The following is a 20,987-nucleotide window of genomic DNA, read 5'->3' as shown; positions in this document are numbered from 1 at the left end:
GCAATCTGTATTTGAGTAGCCCTCTGGGTGGTTCTGATACACATGAATATTTAAGGACCACAAAATTAGATTAACACATCAAAATGTAACTTGATAGCAATAGGTGATGATGATGGTGATGATGGTGATGATGATGATGATGATGTTGATTATTTTCTGAGACAGAGTATAACTGTTGCACAGGGTGAGTGCAGTGGTATGATTACAGCTCACTGCAACCTCAACCTCCTGGGCTCAAGCAATCCTCCTGCCTCAGCCTCCTGAGTAGCTGGGACTGCAGGCATGTGCCACTGTGCCTGGTTATTTTTTATTTTTTGTAGATAAGGGCTCTTGCTATGTTGCCCAGGTTGGTCTTGGACTCGTGGATGCAAGTAATCTTCCCACCTTGGCCTCCCAAAGTGTTGGGATTACAGGTGTGAGCCATTGAGCCTGGCCAAAAATAGACTAGTGATCAAGAACATAAGAGAAAGAAGAGAACAACTAGAAAGAAAAGAGAAAGGGTGCAATATAGGCCTGATGAAACAAAAGACAAGACCATCTGATAAAACAGGTCCACAACTTATAACCACACTGGAAACATGCACTGTGGAAACTGCATTTCAATGCCAAGCCTCACAAGATAAGATATTACGGGGTTGGGGGGAGGTGGAGAGAGAGAGAGAGAGAGAGAAAGATGTTGAGGAGAAGAGTAACCACTTGGAATAGACACATTCATATTTTATTTATATCTCTGAGGGGAGCAGTGTATGTTTTCCTGGGTGCAGCTATTTTTCAAATGTCTGTAAATTTGATTGGGTTGAACAAAATACAAATTAATTTAAACGCATCACTGAACTTACTATGACTTTTGCTGTCATGTGTTTTCTCAGTCAATTTGCACTGAGACTACTGCCATGAAATCTCTGAACACTGAAAAGGGGTACCCCTATGTAAAACAGTTATAGACCAGTGGCCTGTAGGGTAAAGTCTAAACTTATCAGCAACGTCTGTTCCTAAGAGTCTTATGAGCTATCATTCCTCATTTCAACAGGTTGGTCGTCTACCGACTGCTCATTCACATGTATCCTGTAGCAATATCAAGTCACTTGACGTTCTTAAAATTCAGCAGGTTTTGTTTCTTCTACTGGTGAACCCCTACATATCCATTAAGACCCTGCTCAAATATCACCCCCTTTACTTCCCAGTAAACAAGGCATTCCTTGAATGAGGAGACCATGTGTTTTCTTCTCTATATGCACAGGACCCAGCTTGATGCCTGGCTCAGTTAATGCTCAACAAACATTTGTTGAGTATTCGTTTACCACTTAGACAAATTATACTTGTTATTTATCCAAAAGCTGTGCTTATCTGTTAAGCAAGACATAAAGCCAGCATGAGAGGGCTTGCATATATGCTTTACTTGGTCTTTGCAGCTTGCCTATATAAAGTTGCTTGCTACTGATAAGTCAGTAAATGGGAAACAGAAAACAAAAACAGCAACAAAATCACAGTGAAGGAAAAAGAAAATCTATCAACAAAAAGAAAACCTAGGCTAATGCTGTTGTTATTATTTATCATGGCATTTAGCGTTGCGCTTCCTGGCAGTCTAGGCAAAAAGGAAAATATTGGATTACATAAGCCAGTTTGACCAATGAATCACAGTGGTTTATGAAGAGAGATGCATGGTTTTTTACACAAGGAATTTACTGTGTAGGTTCCTATGTTATGGACTTTGACAAAGCGTTAGGTTACTCTAGTAGCTATAGAGAATATTTATTTGTTCATTCTTCAAATATTCTTTCAGCACATTTTCTATCCTAGACATTGTGTGGAATTTGGGCTATAGAAATGAATGATACATTCACATTCTACAGGAGGAGAGAGACAGGTGGGTTCATGCAATATAGGGTGATACAGTCCATGTTAGAAGAAAGGTCAGGAGGCTCTAGGAGCCCAAGGCAGAAACCTTGGCTGTCATTGAGAAAGGAAGGCTCTGGAGAGGAGATGACATCTGAGCTGAGTTTTAAAGAATGAGTTGGGTTGGCCAGATGATGTTTCGGTGGGAGGGGTGTCCTAGTAGATAGAACATCAAGTGCAAAGTTTTGGAGGAATGAAGCATGGTGCAAGGTGCACCATTGCATGATGCAAGGTGCACCATTGCATGACGCAAGTGACTCAGTCACACTGGGGCACTTGGTAGGTAGGGAAAGCAGGTGAAATTGACAAGGTAACAAGCAAGTGCCACACCATGAATTATCCCCAGTGACACCAAAGGACCTTGGTCTTTGGGTTCTGCAGGGCAGGGCAAGGGGGAACGATAAAATAATTTAAATAGAAAAGTGACATAGTCTAAATTATGTGTTTAAAAATGAACAAGTGCTCCTCATGCCGTCTCTCCTTAGTCCCCCATTGGGGCCCAGCTTTGCTCTGTAGTCAGTCTGTCTGATCCTAAGTTTCTTTGCTATGAGGCCAAACACTTCAGAAACACCGAAGTCTGAACTGACATCAATTATGCTGAAAGGGGGAAAAATTAATTAAAAGTTTTCGAAGGGCTGTGTTCTGTATTCTTGTCTATTTTCGTGTTATCAGCAGCACTGCCTTTTCTCCTGGCTAGGAGTTATTACAGTATAACATTTTCATGTTGCTTGTAGGGTAATTATGTCAAATATATAGGAGATGATAAGCGGCAGTTTGTATTATTCTGTGATTAATCTCCATACATTCTGGCATTTCAATCTGGCCTAAGAAGACTACGTTTGCTAAACTCTGGTGCAGAGGGAGGATGTGGGGAAGAGCTGGGAGGATTGGGGAGTTGAGACTGAGGAGATTCTGGTTGGAAATATCCCAGTTCCCTCAGATAACCCACTAACCCCAGGCTCCAATTCCCCTGTTCCTTCCAAGGCTCATTTAGTGTAGTGCTTCTGAATAGTGCACCTAGGTTGCTTATTTACAAAGCACACTCCTACCCCTGTTGCTGGCCTCCCCCACCCCAAACCCACAGAATCAATATTTAGAACGTTATAAAGCCAAGGAATTTGCATTTCCAACCACTCCCTGCCAAATCGTTCTTACATATTTAGAATTTTTGAAAAGCAGGTCTAGCTCAATCAGGCCCAATCCTTTGCAAACCTGAAATCAGATATGAAAGTTTTCCAAGATGGTGCTGGAGGAGCAGACTTGGGAATTTAAAATGACCTGGGATGACTAAGGGAGACCCTCACATCTCCTTATCTGGGTTTCTTTAAAAATGTGAAATAGATGGAATTGGTTTACTGCTACCCAGAGGTAGGATAAAACATCTCTTGTAAGATGTTAAAACAGGGAAAAGAACACTTCAGTAGAGGTTCTAGACACAAAGTTTGGGAATGAGCCCTACAGGTGGAACAGAGTCTGAAGCAGGAGAAATCTTGGCAGAGGAAGTAGAGGGGTACCTGGTTTCACATCCTCCTTGGTCAAGGGACCCCCCCCCACGAATCATCCTCAACATCTCAACCAGGAAGGGTGATGGGGGATGACTTCTCCAGCCAGCACAATGGTATGCTTCTGCTGCATTTCTGCCTAATGTTGGCGTGCTTTTTCTTGGTCACCATGCTGTCCTGGTGAAAGCTGCCTCGCAGGGTGGTGGATCCCTTAGAGGTAAAGTTCATATGGGGCCACTGTGCTACATCTCTCTAAGCCCTTTGTTCTTGGAAAGAACAGGGGAATTGGAGCCTGTGCTACGTCTTTGTAAGCCAGACCCCTTTGATCCTCACCAGCCTGAACTCTTGGGCCCTGCAGAATTCTAGAATCTTCCCAGTTCCCAAGTGGAACCCTCTGCCAAGTAACCCCATACACAGACAGGCAAGGAATATAGTGGCTTATGTTGGGTTCTCTTTAGTTTATGATTTATTGATGGAGAATATGAAATTTTCATTAAAACAGACTGCTGTTTCTCACTCATTTGTCACATTTTTAATTTGTATTTTAAAACATTAATAAAACTGACACAATTAATTATTTTTCAAAATGTCAAATATATTGAAGATGTGGGACTGGAATGAAGCTTCATGTTGTAGCAGAATGAGGCATTGGTTCAAGAAAATGATCTCCTGGTTACACTGAGATCTTTCCCCTTCCTGAACCTTATGGTCAGACGAATTGTCTCTGATCTCTTAGTAGATATCACTGTTTACAAAGTGCTTTCATTTTTTTTTATCCTGAGATATTATCCAGTAGTGCTTGGGGAGGTCCTGGTTTATGTCTGTGGTCTTAGTATTATTAATAATGTAACCCTGGACTGTCCTCATTTGTATGACAAATTGTATGATGCTCTGAGTCCAGGACTGTGAGGGCTCTTGAGTAAGACATAAGTGGTTCACGTCCTTGGTAGCCACATGACCTCAAGCCTGTTTCCCCATTAGTAAAACGCAGAAAATAATAGCACCAACTTCATGGTATTGTCATGAGTTTAGACGATATGATATAATATGCCTGGCATATAGCAAGAGTTCAATATATGATTGCTGCCACTCTATTTGTGGTCATTATTATCATTAGACCCTGCATGGGGCTGGTCCAGACTTCGCTCTCAGCCTCACCTCACTCTACACTCCCCGTTGTAGTCTCTCTCTGGCAACTCTGGACTTCTTTCAGTTCCATGCGTATGTCTTTGCCACAGGGACTTTGCACCTGCTGCTTAGTCTTTTAACCTGAGTTCCATCTCAGCTCAAACTTTACTCTCCAGGGAAGCCTGCCCTGATACCTCTCATTAGATCAAGTCCTCCTGTTGTCAGCTCTTGAAACATCCTACATCTCTCTTCTGTAACAATTGTCATTGTCAAAATTTAGCAGTTATTCGTGTGATTCTTTGGTTTATGTCCATCTCTCCCACCAGTCTGTAAGCTCCAAGAAGATAGGAACTATGTCTGTCTTTGCTTACCACTGGTTCCCAGTACCTAGTGGAATGCTGAGCTATAGTGAGTGGTCAATAAAAATTGGTTCAGTGAATGAATTGAATTCTACTTCACCTGTTCTTATCAACTCCCAAGTCTCCCTGTCTTTTTCTGTATCTTTCATTGACTATCCAACCTTGGATAAAATGGGTGCTATTATAACAGTAATAATAGCTGAGATTTTTGGAGTGCTTGCTATATACCAGCTATTTTACTTGCATTATTTCATTGAACACTTATGACAATCTGATGAATTCAATGCAATCATCATCACTCTTATTTCACAGTTGAGGAAACTGAGGTTGATATAATGATACCCAGCAGGCGAGCGATCAGCTGGGATTCCTGCTCAGGTGGCTGGACTCCAGAGCTCCTACCTCTATCTGAGACTGTTCTATTCCTCCTATAAACTATTTTATGGAAAAGTAGTTCATCACTGTATCCTTAATCTCTAGCCAAGTGCTATATATATATTTATAGCAATTTGATAAATATGCACTCAATAACCTGATGTTTGAATGAATAAATACATTCTTATTATTAAATACCATATTTGTGGCCCGGCACAGCAGTTCAAGCCTGTAATCCCAGCACTTTGGGAGGCTGAGGCGGGTGGATCACCTTAGGCTGAGGTCGAGAGTTCAAGACCAGCCTGGTCAACGTGGTGAAACCCCATCTCTACTAAAAATACAAAAATCAGCCAGGCATGGTGGCATGTGCCTGTAATCCCAGCTATTCCAGAGGCTGAGGCAGGAGAATCGCTTGAATCTGGGAGGTGGAGGCTGCAGTGAGGAGAGATTGTTTCACTGCATTCCAGCCTGGGTGGCAGAGCGAGACTCTGTGTAAAAAAATAAAATAATTAAAAAAATAGCATATTTGTGAGTTGTAATTTTTTAAAGTTACTTCCATTTTTTTTTTCTTTTTTAGTTTAGGTTTTCTGTTACAATCTGGATATTGCTATGGGACATGAGATCTATATGAACAACATCTGTCTTGCTTGTGGTGGTGAATAAATATTTAAGGATCCCTGGGCCAGTTGCACGCAGAGTGCTTCCAGCTGATACAACCCCGAATCCCAGGATGGGATCTGGAAGAGTGAAGCTTCAGGGGTCATTTTCCTTGGATAAGGGAATTGGAGCGTGGGAGGATGGAAGGAGAGGGTGGTGTGAGCCTGCAGGGAAGATCTGTCCAGGCATGTGAGGCTGCTTGCAGGAGGCAGAGCCCTCCTCTGGGTCTGATGAGGGTCAGAGAGAGAAGGAGGCTTTGCGGAGCTGGAGCAGTCACTCGGGCCAGGGGCAAGTATTCTGGGTAAGTGGGTCTTGGGTTGGGATTCTGCTTCTAGCTTCTCTACCTCCCACCCCTCTATTCCCTTCTCAGAGGAAAAGGACTCCCGAATCTTGTGTCTTCCAGATCACATCCTGGAATTCAAGATTATATCAGCTGGAAGCACCCTGAGGGCAGTTGGCCCAGGGATCCTCAAACGTTTATTCAGCACCGCACACCAGGCAGACGTTATTCATATGGGTCACATGTTCCATGGCAATGCCCAGATTGTGACCGAACACCCAAACTGAAAAAAGTGGAAGTAACTAAAAAAAATCGCAACTCACAAATACGCTATTTAATAATCAGAATTTATTTATTCATTCAAACATGAAGTTATTGAGTACATATTTATTGAGCTCCTTTTATTCCAGGCATTTGACTAGAGATGGAGGACACAGTGGTAAACTGTTTTCTCAAAGTCACACACAGATACATTATAAATGATATAATTTAAATATAAGACAAATTTATCTACTGTATTCAAATTAAATACATACATCCACACACATATGCAATGAAGTATATACAACATAAAAACACAGCACGGCCGGGCGGGCGCGGTGGCTCACACCTGTAATCCCAGCACCTTGGGAGGCCGAGGTGGGCGGATCACGAGGTCAGGAGATCGACACCATCCTGGCTAACAGGGTGAAACCCCATCTCTACTAAAAATACAAAAATTAGCTGGGCGTGGTGGCGGGCGCCTGTAGTCGCAGCTGCTGGGGAGGCTGAGGCAAGAGAATGGCGTGGACCCAAGATGTGGAGTTTGCAGTGAGCTGAGATCGCACCACTGCACTCCAGCCTGGGCGACAGAGCAAGACTCTGTCTCAAAAAAAAACAAAAAACAAACAAACAAACAAAAAAACCACAGCACACACATTCTTTGTCTAGGTTCATACAGCCATATGGTCCAAAATTCCATGGGTACAATAGGGAACACGATGACACTTCTCTCCTGCCTCAGGTCTCTATCTGCCCACTGGCTTATCTCCCAGCACAACCAGCACCATCAATTCTTTGGCTTCCCCTCCAGAGCAAATATGTCTGTCTTTTTTTTTTTATTTTTGAGACATCATCTTGGTCTGTCACCCAGGCTACAGTGCAGTGGAAGGATCATGGTTTTCTAGGCTCCAGTGATCCTCCTACTTCAGCCTCCTGAGTAGCTGGGACTACAAGCAGGCACCACCATGACCAGCGAAGTTTTTTTTTTTTTTTTTTTTTGTAGAGACAGTCACACCATGCTGTCCAGGCTGGTCTCGAACTCCTGGGCTCAAGAAATCTACCTGCCCTGGCCTCACAAAGTGCCAGGATTACAGGTGTAAGTCACGGCGCCCAGTCTCAGGGCAAAAATGTTTAAATATTGCCCCCCACCCACCCCTGCCATGACACCTTTCCTTTTTCTTTTCTCTCTTGTTTTATGCAAATAGGAGCAAAGTAAACAGTGTTCTAACCTTGCCTTTTATGCTTATACATATCTTGGAGGTGGTTCATATCAGTACACAATAAGCTTTCTTGTTCTTTTTTACAGCTGCTTTTTGATAGCTCCATGGATGTCAATGGTGAATTATTAACAGTCAATCAATAGAATGGAAAACTTCTGCAGGGCTTTGCCGTCATGGAAAGAAGTTCCTGGTATAAAACAGAATGGCGGATAAAACCAGATTGTAGCTTCACACCATATGATATCATATGATATTATCATGGTTATGAAAAATAGAATCTATACATATATGTGAATAGCTATATGAATTGGGAAGAATGTTTATTAAAATATTAGCATCAGTTATATCCTGGTGGCAGATTTATTATCATATATAAATATATATTTGTTTTTTTGTTTGTTTGTTTGTTTTTGAGATGGAGTCTCACTCTGTCACCCAGGCTGGGGTGTAATAGTGAGGTCTTGGCTCACTGAAACCTCTGCCTCCCGGGTTCAAGCCATTCTTCTGCCTCAGCTTCCCAAGTAGCTGGGACTACAGGCGTGTGCCATCGCGCTTGGCTAATTTTTGTATTTTTAGTAGAGACGGGGTTTCATGATGTTGGCCAGGCTGGTCTTGACTTCCTGATCTCAGGTCATCTGCCGGCCTTGGCCTCCCAAAGTGCTGGGATTACAGGTGTGAGCCACCATGCCTGGCCTGTTTTTGTTTTTTGAGACAGGATCTCACTCTGCTGCCCAGGATGGACTGCAGTGATGCAATCACAGCTCTCTGCAGCTTCAACTTCTGAGCTCATGCGATCTTCCAGCCTCAGCCTCCCAAGAAGCTGGGACTACAGGTATGCACCACCAAGTCCAGCTAATTCTTAAATTTTTTGTAGACATAGGGTTTCATCTTGTTGCCCAGGCTGGTCTCCAACTCCTGGGCTCAAATGATCCTCCCACTTTGGCTCACACCTGATGGAATTACAGGTGTGAGCCACTGCACCTGGCCTGTATGTTTAATAAAAGTAAAAATGTGTGATTCCTACAGCCAGGACAAAGGAAATATTATCTTTATTTTGAAACAAACAAGTGCCCTTCACACCTGCTCTGCCTTTTACTACTGACTAAGGGTGGATAATTAGACCATGAACAGTGGTGATTCCCAGTGCCTCAACTGGGAGTCCTCCCCTTTTCCTGAGCTAAATGCCTGGTACATGATTAAAACATGGAAGCAAAAAACCCAAAACAAACAAACAAACAAACAAAAACAAACCAAAATAAAAAAAGAAAAAGAAAAAGAATAAGCATCTGAACTTAAGGGTGCAAGAATGGCTTTGTCAGAGGGATCTTTGAATCCACTTTAATTTGTTTAAGCAATTTATTGAAGACTTCATTACTTGAGCTGATTTTAGTAATAAATTAGTTGTGACTCTCCCCATTGCTAGTCATTATTCCCTAATGTTGAGATACCGAGGTTACAAGCCTTCACTCAAGTCAACCTTCTCATTTTAGAGACAAGGATGTTCAGTCCCTCAAAGTTCCCGAAGAAGACGTCAAGGTGTGGTGAAGTTAGCTATGTACAAATTATTATATGAAGAGCTTTCAAAACATGCAAGTACCTGGGGGCTAAAAATAATAAAATGGGTTGTTAGAGATGAAAGAGTTGGGATTCAGGATGTGTTTCAACCCCTACATTTTTTTTTTTTTTTTGAGACAGAGTTTCGCTCTGTCACCCAGGCTGGAGTGCAGTGGTGCTATCTCGGCTCACTGCAACCTCCGCCTCCCAGGTTCAAGTGATTGTCCTGCCTCAGCCTCCCGAGTAGCTGGGATTACAGGTGCACGTCACCACACCCAGCTGATTTTGTATTTTTAGTAGAGACGGGGTTTCACAACGTTGGACAGGCTGGTCTCCAACTCCTCACCTCAGGTGATCTGCCCGCCTCGACCTCTCAAAGTACTGGGATTACAGGCATAAGCCACCGCGCCCTCCCCACTCCCTTCATTTTTGAAGCTTTTATCTTTCATTTTGACCATGAGGACTTAATAAGACACTTGCTCAGGATCGACCCAAAGAGCCGGGGCTAAAACATGGGTATTGTGATTCTCAGCCCTTTGTGTTCCACACACCCCAGGCAGCACATGAAACATGGCAGGGCTCCCTACGCAGTGAGTCTCCCATACCATCACCTTTATTTGACTTGATGAGAATTATGCAGGAACCAAAATTTGCAGGTGACGTTCCCACGACGAAGGATTTGCTGCAATGCCACATTCATCACAGAACTCATAAGATCAGTGCCTACAGTTTGGAAATCCTTTTTCCTTGACAAATGATATATTTCATTTATTTCCCATGATCTTCTTGCATTATTTCAATATTATTAATACTTGGCAAATGTATTAAAAAAGTAATAAACTGGCAATTATGATTGTGCTATGGACCCCAAACTGCAATTATTCATTATGTTTCAATTATTAACTTCCCTTCAAATGTCTTTCAGCGAAGATTGTAAGAAGAAAAAAAAATCCCGATGAAGCTCTGTACCCTGGTTCCTGGAGATCTATGTTTCACTCTGACTTGACATTTTTCTGATTTATCTGCTATCTCAGGGCTAGAGGAATCAAAGTAATAATAAAAAAGTCCTTGCTACTTAATAAACAATAACCATCAACACCTTATATTTATATAGAGCTTTTTAACCCTTCCTAGTGCCTTAGTATCTATGACTGCATTTTATTTCAAAACAAGGCTTATGAAGTATGTGGTTCCAATATATGCCCCTGTTTATTGATGGGGGACACAGAGACTCAGAGACTAGGCACAGAGGACACTCAGATGGTGAGACTTCCCACCACTCACACCCCTCCACCACCACTCCCCACCATAGCATCTCAGCACCAGCCCCAGTTCCAAAGCGAGTCTTGACGTTAGGAGAAAGTCAGTCACTGAGACCGATGGAGAAGGGGATGATGACAGGAGTAGCTGTTCTCTGAACTTGCACAGGGACCTAAGTGCTGGGCACATGTTACTTTGTCTAATCTTCCCAAGATCCCAATGGGGAAGACACAGTAATAATTCCGCTTCATGAAAATCTTAGCAGATTTGCCCAAAGGCCCACAGCCAGTATCTAGGAGTACAACCATAGCGATGATAACTCTGATGATAGTTGCATGAATTCAATGTTGACCATGTGCCAAGTACATTTGTAGATTTTATAAGTGAGAGTCCTGAGGATCAAAGGACTTGCTCAAAGTCAGTAACAACCACCATATTGCTCACCTATCCACCAGCACCTCTGCCTTCAGCACCCCCACCAAGCACTTGTGTGTGTTATCCCATCTGATGTACCACCCCATTACTATTTTTTCTTTCACTGCCAAAGGAAAAGTAGTGATGGGAACAGGAGAGAGGGATGTCTACGGATGTAGGTGCATTGGAGAGACCCTCCCAGCAGAATTTGGCTCATGATTAGCCCTCAAAGCAATTCTACACCCTCCACCTGCTCCCACTTCTCACATTATCCCTGTAGGAGTATGATAAGTGATAGCTATAAAGGACATGAAGAATTCCTTTTTTTTTTTCAAATAAGCAAATTGCATTAAATTTTAATGATGGTCATTATGGACTGGTTTGTCTTTGGCGCTTAAGCGAGTCCTCCGGTCGCCTTTGAAGAATTACATTTGCACAGATTAATTGTCTGCAGTTTTGTCCGGCACATCCTTACCCCAGTCATCACACTGCGAAACCTTGTCCCCATCTGGGCAGAGCTCAATGATGTAGCACTTTGGCCTTTAAAATATGCACAATAAATATTTCAGATTTTCTGATGAATGACTTGCTCTCATGGCAAGGCTGCAGGGCTAGAGTTTTGCAGGGACAGAAGGAGGGAGAAGTGAAGCAAATCTCAAAACGAGAGCCATTTTCAGGCTTCACAAAGAGGTACTGGGTGCCAGGCAGAAGGGTTGCCTTTCGTGGTCAGATGTCACAGCAGCAGGAGTCACACTGGAGTTGCTTTCTGAAATGCCTGATTGCATCCTTCTCCTGGACAGGTATCACTTTCCCGGGATGACTCTCTTCCAAGGAGCACATTTAACCTTCCCAATCACAGGAAACCCATCTGAGACCAAAGTTCCTGCTGAAAGAGATGTGTGATTTTCGGTAAGCTGGTCTATGGAAAACTCAATGAAGTAACCAATGTAACATTCAAGGTAACAAGTCAATAGTTCATGGGACACTCAGTTGAATAGTCTGTGGAACCCTCAGTGAAATAATCAATGTAACACTCAATTGGTACTTCATACTCCATTCATTCAACAATTCAATTTTCCATAAAGCATCCACTTGGTTGTTTAAAGCTCTGGACCAGATCATGCCATTTACCTTTTAAAAATATTCAGTGGTTTCCTATTACACTTAGAATAATATACTAACCTGTGACCATGTATCAAAGGCTCCGACATGAACCATAACCACCTCGCCCATTCATCGCCCCTCACAATACTCCATCCACACAGGCCTTGGCCCATCTTCCATGAACTCACAGAGCATGTTTCTGCTCCAGGACCTTGACACTTGCTCCTCTCTCTTCCCAGAATACTCTGCCTTGGGATCTTCCCACGGCTGGCTTCTTCATGTCATCCAGGTCTCAACTCAGATGTTCTATCAAATGTCTGAGGATATATTCTTGAACTAATCGAAAGTAATCCCTTCATCTCAACAATTCTCCATCAATTACTTTATTTTATCAGCTCTCATCACTATTCAAACTTGTTTGCTTTTGTTTATGTGTGCTTTATTTGTTGGTTATCTGTCTCTTCCAGTCCAATGTAAGCTTTGGACTTTTACTACCTTTTGGACTTTTACTACCCTACCTTTATGGTAGGGACTTTATTTATGTTGTTCATCATGATATCCCTACTGCTTAGAATGTAGCTCATCACAGTGTCAGTGCACAGAAAACATCTGTTGAATGAATGAATATTTCTTTTCTTTATTTTTTTTCCTTTTTTTGAGATGGAATCTTGCGCTGTCACCCAGGCTGGAGTGCAGTGGCGTGATCTCGGCTCACTGCAAGCTCCGCCTCCTGGGTTCATGCCATTCTCCTGCCTCAGCCTCCTGAGTAGCTGGGATTACAGGCGCCCGCCACTATGCCTGGCTAATTTTTGGTATTTTTAGTAGAGACGGGGTTTCACCATGTTAGCCAGGATGGTCTCGATCTCCTGACCTCGTGAGTCGCCCGCCTCGGCCTCCCAAAGTGCTGGGATTACAGGCGTGAGCCACTGTGCCTGGCCTGAATGATTATTTCTTGAGCACTAATGATATTCAGGTTGTAGGTTGAGCATCTGGAATACAGCACTAAATGAGACACGTCGTTCTCTTTAATGGACCCCTAGAATGTAATTTTAGTAAGGTGTTTGGCCTTTCACCTTTCATGGCCTTGGATAGCAGCTCTGGGAGGCAAGCACACCCAGACAGGAGTGACTGGTGTCCAATTTCGATCATAATACTAGGGTCAGATTCAGAAGTCCTAGAAGTTTTAGTGTTGAAAGAGTTTTTAGAGATCACGACATCCAAACTTCCCTATTTATAAGTCCCAGAGAGAGGATGTGGCTTGGACAAGTTTACACAGAGGGCTAGAGGCAGAGTGAAAATTAAAATGCAGGACTTTTGACTCTAGGAGTTACGTTCATTTAATTTTATTGTCTCAATACTAGGATCTGGGTTCTGAGCAGCCTACGCATTGTTTCAAAAGAAAAATTTATATTAGCACATTCTAATTAAAACCCATCAAATCAAGATTGGTGTGTTGGAGCTGAACCCTACGTAGTACCACAAAAGACGTTACTAGGGGCACCTGAGCCAGGTAAGCATTCCCACTGGCTCTTCCATAAGCAATCCACCTCTCCGTTCTTTCTTCCAACAGATTTTCAGTGCCTCACTTATACTAGGAAACAAAAACAGCTAGAGCTGTTATGAATTCAACTTTACTTCTCATCTACATGAGGTAGGTTTCCTATCTCATAACAGAGCTATCTGCCAAGGGAATGTTCCTCATTTCTAGTTCACAAAGAATTTTACATCCCTTTCCATTAAATATCTAATTGACAATCCCTCTGAGTGCTTCACAGACTATTCAGTTTTCTCATGGACTATTCGGTTGACTGTTACATTGATCATTTCATTGAGGATTCCACAGACTATTCAACTGAGTGTCCCATGAATTATTCAATTGTTACTTTGAATGTTACACTGGTCACTTCATTGAGTTTTCTATGGATGAGTTCACCAAAAATCACACATCTCTTTCAGCAGGAACTTTGGTCTCAGACGGGGTTCCTGAGATTGGGAAGGTTAAATAAACTTCTGCATGGGTGCAAGAGGCCCTTCTACCTCTGCTATCTTGCTGTGGCAGAATCCTTCAGTGCCCACTCCTTGAAGAAAACCAACATGGCTTCCCTTGTGATAACTCTCACAGCAGTTTCAAACGTGGCCATAAAAAGCAGTACTTGATTTCCCAGCTGAAACACTTCTTTTTCCAGTGTTCCAAGGAGGGGGTTGGAATGGGATAAGTTATGTGTTGTGGTTTTAGGCATTAATGAATATGAGAAACTAAATTATTGAATTTTGCAATGCAAATTATATTTTGAACAGAAATTCTTCATCTCTGAATGCTAAGGACTCATAAAGAATGTCAATGGTTTATGAATTAGGCCATTAGCATGCAATTTGTGATTCAAACAGCACACTAGCACTGTGTAATAAGTAACTATATAAAGAGTAGTGTTGTTGTCTACATTTTCAAAATATTTTGCTTAATGCATTAGAAAGTTTTCAAAAGGCTGCAATGGGCCTCCCTTTTTTTCCTCACTCCTCCCTCCCTCCCTTCCTTCTTCCCTCCGTCCTGTTTTTTGAGACAGAGTCTCACTCTGCTGCTTGGACTGCAGTGAAGTGGCATGGTCTCGGCTCACTGCAAACTCCGCCTCCCACTTCAAGCCATTCTCTTGCCTCAGCCTACTGAGTAGCTGGGATTATATGCGTATGCCACCACACCCTGCTAATTTTTGCATTTTTAGTAGATGTGGGGGTTTCTCTGTGTTGGCCAGGCTGGTCTCAAACTCCTGGCCTCAAGCAATTCATCTGACTCGGCCTCCCAAAGTGCTGGGGTTATGAGCATGAGCCACAATGCCCGGCCCCTCCTTCTTTTCCAAACTTCCTCCCCAATCCCAATTCTCTCTCTCCCTCCCATCCTCCTCTATTGGTTAACTACATTCCCTTCCCTCTCTTCATCCGTCCCCCCTTACCTCCCTTCATCCATCCCACCTTCCCTTCTTCCTTCCTTCCTGCTTTCTTTCTCTCCTCTCTGTCTCCCTCGCTGTCTTCCTTTCTCTTTCCTTCCCTGTCTCCTTCTTTCCTTTCTTCTCTCTCATTCTCTTTCCATTGGCTACATTAGCTATTGCTCCTATGCTTCCCAGTCTAGTCCTTCCCAGATTAGATTATGGGAGCTGAAAGAGTTTTAAGAACTAATCTAGACTAGTCCTACTAGCTCTAGAGATGGGAACTCTGAGACCCAGAGACTGAAAGGGTCACGTCCAAGGTCCCACAGGGATAGAGCCATGTGGAGCCAGGTCTCCGCAATACTCACCCCCTCAATTGACTTGATCATGCCAGTGAGCAATCAGCTCATCTCAGATACTTTGCTGAGAGTGAGTTTTCATGGAGGCAGAGAGATTAGGGCACTGGCTATCAGGTGAGATTAGAGGGTGGGAAGGAGATGAGAAATTGGAGGCAAAAAAAGGATGTGGCAGGAAAAAGCTAATGCAAATTTCAACTGTACAGTTTGTTAACTGGGATGACTTGATCTCAAGGCAACTGGGACCAGGAAATAGAATTGGTATGGAGTAAAATTTCAGTTCAGCTGAAAAAATTAGGTTTCACAATTAGAACCATCAGTCAAAGAAGGAACTACCTGGTGAAGTGATGTGCATTCCATCACTTAGAGAATTTCAGGTTGAGTGCAAATACTAATTCATAGAAATCCAAGAGCCTAAAATTCTTCTAGCTTAGTGGTGGTCAACCTTGGCTGCACCTCAGAATCACCTAGGGGAGATGTGAAAACTCTCCACATGCCCAAGACACAGGTTTGTCAATGAAATCAGAATTTCTGGGGGTGAGACTTGAGACATCAGGACTTTTTTTTTTTTTTTAAGTTTTCTTTTAAGAATTCCAGTGTCCAGCTAGGATTCAGAACTACTAGTAAGCCCAATGGTTCTCAAATTTTAGTGTGCATGAGAAACACCAATGAAGCTAATTATCAATGTAGGTTCCTGGGTGCCTCTGCCTACCTATTCCAATTCAGTTCATCTGAAGGGGGATCTGGGAATCAGCATTTAAACAAACAACCCAGATGACACTGATGCTGCTGATCTGAGGACCACAGTCGTAGAAACACTCCCTGTCCACTTCTCCATGTGATATTCAATTCTCTTCAACAAATGTCCCTGCTAGTTATCCAGCTGCCACTTTGCTGCTTCCAGCGACAAGGAAGAGCCATTTCCACTAATGGGTTAACTGCACATGAGAGAGGTCTGACTCTAGGCCAACGGTCTCAGATGGCTTTGGGGAGTCCTGGTCAGAACCATTTTGGAATAGCTGCACTCAACTTTTAGCTCCAGGGATGCACACATAATCCTAGCCTTGAGTGGAAAGCTAGTGATAAGAGAGAAATAACCTTCATCCAAGTCTAGCTGTCCTTCTCTTCCCATAATGATGGAGGATTTTTGGTCATCCTTGCTTCTCACCCTAGCCAGCTGCAATCTCTTCCAGGTAGCCAAGATGCTGAGGATTTTGCTGTCCTCTCCGAACGATTCTCTAAAGCCCTCTTCTGAGAGTGCCTTTCCCACCTTGCAGGAAGGACCTTCAAAGTCAATAGTCCTGTGCTCAGCTGTCATGAAATAGACAAGATCTAGAGTCTGCCAGGGATTCCTGCAGCAGCCATTTTCCAGGAGGATGGCAAACAATAGCATTACTCAAATGACCAGAGGCAAAATATCCCCCCTACCAAGAATGCCTTGCAAATTCACACATCCTGTAATGGAGTGTCTTCAGAAGCACACACAGAGCGCGTGCTCAGTGAGTGATGGCCAGAAGGCAAAGAGCTCACCTTGGGCTATGAAATATTTAGAAGTTAACTTAGCACTTTCATGCTTTATAAAGAAGAAAGTTCATGCATTTTTAAATTATTTTGTAAATCATGTTGAAAGCTGACAATGCAGATTTACCACCAAGGCTGCGATTTAAATACCGGGTTATCCCCTCATTATGTTAACAGAGTGAAGAGAGAGAGAGAGTCATTCACTCTGATCTGTCAAAAGCCTGTTGCGCTCCTCTTGGTGAAAGCATGCTCCCCTCCTCAACTCTGGCTTCCAGGAGATGCTCCCCCTTGGTGTGAGAGGTTGAGGAAGGGTGTGATTGGATGCTTTGAGACAGCTGTCTATGTTTGGGGGAGCAGGTCAGAAGGGGCAGCAGAGTGTTGATGCCTATTAACTAGAACAGCATGGTGCATGAGCCAGGTACATCTTCTGCAGCAGAATGGGAGAGTGGGGTGACGTGAGATGCATCTTCCTCCTTTATCAGAACTTATGAATTCCTTCAAAAGAGAAAGAGTGTGTGCGTGTGTGTGTGTGTGTGCGCATTTTGGGTGAACAAATTCATATCAGAAACTATCAGGAAACTAGTTCTGGCATGGTGGCTCAAACCTGTAGTTCTAGCACTTTGGGAGGCCTAGGCAGGCAGATCACTTGAGCCCAGGAGTTCAAGGACAGCCTGGGCAGCATGGCGAAATCCCATCTCTACCAAAACTTAGCCGGGCATGGTGGCACATGCCTGTGATCCCAGCTACGCAGGAAGCTGAGGCGGGAGAATAAAGTTGAGCCTGGGAGGCAGAGGTTGCAGTGAGCTGAGATCGCACCACTGCACTCCAGCCTGGGCAGCACAGGGAGACTTTGTCTAAAACAAACAAACAAATAAAAAAAGAAGAAACTATCATGAAACTAGAGACCCAGTCTAGGTGATGAGGAGGGGGAAATAATAACTTGCAAATAGCTCACAGACCCAAACTCCACATCCTGTATTGGGGGGAGACAGAGTCATGGTGTGGATTTAGAATCGGATCCTCTTTAGTAGCTGTTTGCAGCTTGTGGCTTTGGACAAGTTACTAAACCTCCCTGAGCATAGTTTCCTTTTCTGTATAGTGGGGCCCAAAACTACCACCCTCAATGGTCCCATGTGAGAATAAAAAGACACAGAACAAGAAAGGGGCTTAGTACAGGCACAGAATACAGTTTCAATGCAGTCTGGCTAAAAACACGCAAAATTCCATGATTAAAAAAAATCTTACTACAGACTAGAAATCTTGCTTGGGTGTTACAGTTGTTATCTTATTTTGTGCTCACAGCAAATCCACGGGGAAGTGTCCATTTTATGCTCATCTCACAGACAAGAGGACTGAGGTTCAGATAAACAGTGAGCCTCAAAGCACACAGACACTAACAGGCAGAGGCAGGATTTGAATTTGGGTGTCCCTGACACCAAAGCTGGGGTTTTTCCACTTTCCCCTGCTGTCTCCCTTCCCTGGAGAGAAGATCTCATGGCTTCATGAGCTTAGTTGCTGTAAGGGCCCATGAGTTGAGCAGTGAGGGAATAGTTATTTATTTATTTATTAATTGAGACACAGTTTCACTCTGTTGCCCAGGCTGGATGGAGTGCAGTGGCATGATCTTGGCTCACTGCAACCCCCACCTTCCGGGTTCAAGCAATTCTCCTGCCTCAGCCTCCTGAGTAGCTGGGACTACAGGTGTGCCCACCATACTGGGCTAATTTTGCTATGTTTAGCAGAGTTGGGGTTTCCCCATGTTGGCCAGGCTGGTCTTGAGCTCCTGACCTCAGGTGATCCACCTGTCTTGGCCTCCAAAAGTGCTGGGATTACAGGCACGAGCCACCGTGCCCCACCTACTCAGCATGTTTTCATGTTCAAAGTTTAAAGTGTTGGTAGCAGGAAAATGTTCATGGGTTGGTGGGAAAGCACCAACTTAACTCATATTCATTAACTTTTCTTGTAGACCAGGGGATGGGTGGGAATTATTTTGGTGTGGCTAGATTGGAGGGTGTATCCATCTGCTCTTGCATTGCTATAAAGAAATACTTGAGACTGGGTAATTTATAAAAAAAAGATGTTTAATTGTCTCCCTGTTCTGCAGGCTGTACAAGAAGCACAGCAGCTTCTGCTTCTGGGGAGCCCTCAGGAAACTTACAATCATGGCGGAAGGTGAAAGCCCGAACTCTCATCTTGATCGCGATACAAAATAAATATTGGCTCTATCAGAACAATTGGATTGTCTTATTTTTGTCACTGACAACATGGTAGGCTCAACCCCCGTGTCAATTTCTGAGATGGCAAAATCAGCAGTAACTGAGGCAAAGCACCATTAACGGACAAGACAATTTCATCAAGCAAAATCTGACAAATAACATATCGCTGTTTGTCATCAAGATACTTAATATACCAGGGGCTGCTCCCAAAGCTCCCATGATCAATGTTTGCTAATTTACCAATTCTGTGGCTCTGTGAGGGTGCTGGTAATTTCATATTTTACACACCCACAGAGGTTACGGTAATTGATTCAGTTCTAGAAAGTACTGTAATGACTTTGAAGCATAGCAGCTTCTGCTTCTGGGGAGGCCTCAGGAAACTTACAATCATGGCAGAAAGTGAAGGAGAAACAAGACGGGGCTTTAGTACTCTGGTACCATAATAGCGTAAGGAGCCCCAGAAAGTATTGGATAACCAAGAATCAATAAAGGAAAAAACCAAGTCTGCTCTGGGACATGAGCTCAAGAATCCATGATGCTTCTCATTAGAGTACATTAGATCCAATGACGTGCAGTTTCTAAATCTTGGTCTTCCAAATATCAAATTCCCAGTGGGGAATCCGATTTTCCCAGGTCCAGCCAGGTGCTCATGCCTGGGATCATTCAGCTATGATTGGGTTGGCAGAGACTGGGTTGGCAGAGGAAGGGGTTCCTATATAGTGGGGTCATTATTGTGAGCCAGATAGACGTCCCAAGAGGTCTCAGAGTGCTAGTGTTGGGAGGTATTATCCACATTCGTTCGTTTTTCTGTCTCCATTCCAAGAAAAGACAATCTGAAGCTTATCTTTTTGCTTTGAGACAAATCAAGACATAAACCAAGAAAGCAGGAACTAGAAGAGAAGAAGGCTACATGGGGAACACTGACCTTTTTTTTTTTTTTTTTTTTTTTGAGACAGAGTCTCGCTCTGTCACCCAGTCTGGAGTTCAGAGGCGTGATCTTGGCTCACTGCAACCTCCGACTCCTGGGTTCAAGCGATTCTCCTGCCTCAGCCTCTCGAGTAGCTGGGACTACAGGCATGTGTTACCATGCCCTGCTATTTTTTTGTATTTTCAGTAGAGACGGGGTTTCACCGTGTTAGCCAGGATGGTCTTGATTGCCTGACCTCGTGATCTGCCCGCCTCGGCCTCCCAAAGTGCTGGGATTAGAGACACTGACCTTTTAGTGTACAGTGATCCTGCCCTTAGTCAACCTGGCTCAGAAAGTGGATCCATAGGATAACAAGGGGGAAGGAAGGTAAGGAATGGATTATGAGAAGGGAGTGATGAGAAGGACAAACAGCTCTCCCACATGGAAAGAGTTTAAATAATAGTCTGTTCTTGATGTATGACCCACAGTGTCCAGAGAGGAGAAACCGTGGTGAGCTCATTTGGAAAGCCCGAACTCTCAACTTGATTGTGATACAAAATAAATACTGGTTCTATCAGAACAATTGGATTGTCTTATTTTTGTCACTGACAACATGGTAAGCTCAACCCCCATGTCAATTTCTGAGATGGCAAAATCAGCTGTAACTGAGGCAAAGCACCGTTAACGGACAAGACAATTTCATCAAGCAAAATATCACAAATAATATATTGCTGTTTGTCATCAAGACACTTAATACACCAGGGGCTGCTCCCAAAGCTCCCATAATCAATGTTTGCTAATTTACCAATTCTGTGGCTCTGTGAGGGTGCTGGTAATTTCATATTTTACACACCCACAGAGGTTACAGTAATTGATTCAGTTCTAGAAAGTGCTGTAATGACTTTGAATGAACTTGAAAGGTTTTGCATTTGTTTTCAGAGGCTGTTAGAGAGAGTGATTCAAACTCTGCCACACGGGCACAATTTGTAAAGGTTGGACATGAAAACGATGGATTAGCTTTTCTCGGAGACAGCTATCTTCTTGTTATAACCTCCC

The 20,987-nt window shown here is 43.3% G+C and overlaps 1 protein-coding gene across 2 annotated transcripts in view; it reads left to right on the top strand.

Annotated features, from left to right (window-relative positions):
• The window catches only part of TMEM114 (transmembrane protein 114), a 63,960-nt gene extending 44,921 nt beyond the window's left edge, over positions 1–19,039 (top strand). The window contains exon 4 of one of the 2 annotated variants that reach the window (NR_110736.2): positions 18,913–19,039. Coding sequence is in view for 1 of the 2 variants with exons in the window: in NM_001290098.1 (NP_001277027.1) it covers positions 7,765–7,775 (11 nt within the window). In the remaining variant the exon portion in view is untranslated. Of the gene's footprint in view, positions 1–7,764; positions 8,023–18,912 lie in introns of those variants that run through there. The other variant, NM_001290098.1, reaches the window with a different exon arrangement.

Source organism: Homo sapiens, chromosome 16, assembly GCF_000001405.40.
Source record: "Homo sapiens chromosome 16, GRCh38.p14 Primary Assembly".
In the NCBI taxonomy this organism is placed as follows: Eukaryota; Metazoa; Chordata; class Mammalia; order Primates; family Hominidae; genus Homo; species Homo sapiens.
This window is presented reverse-complemented; position numbering and strand designations above follow the sequence as displayed.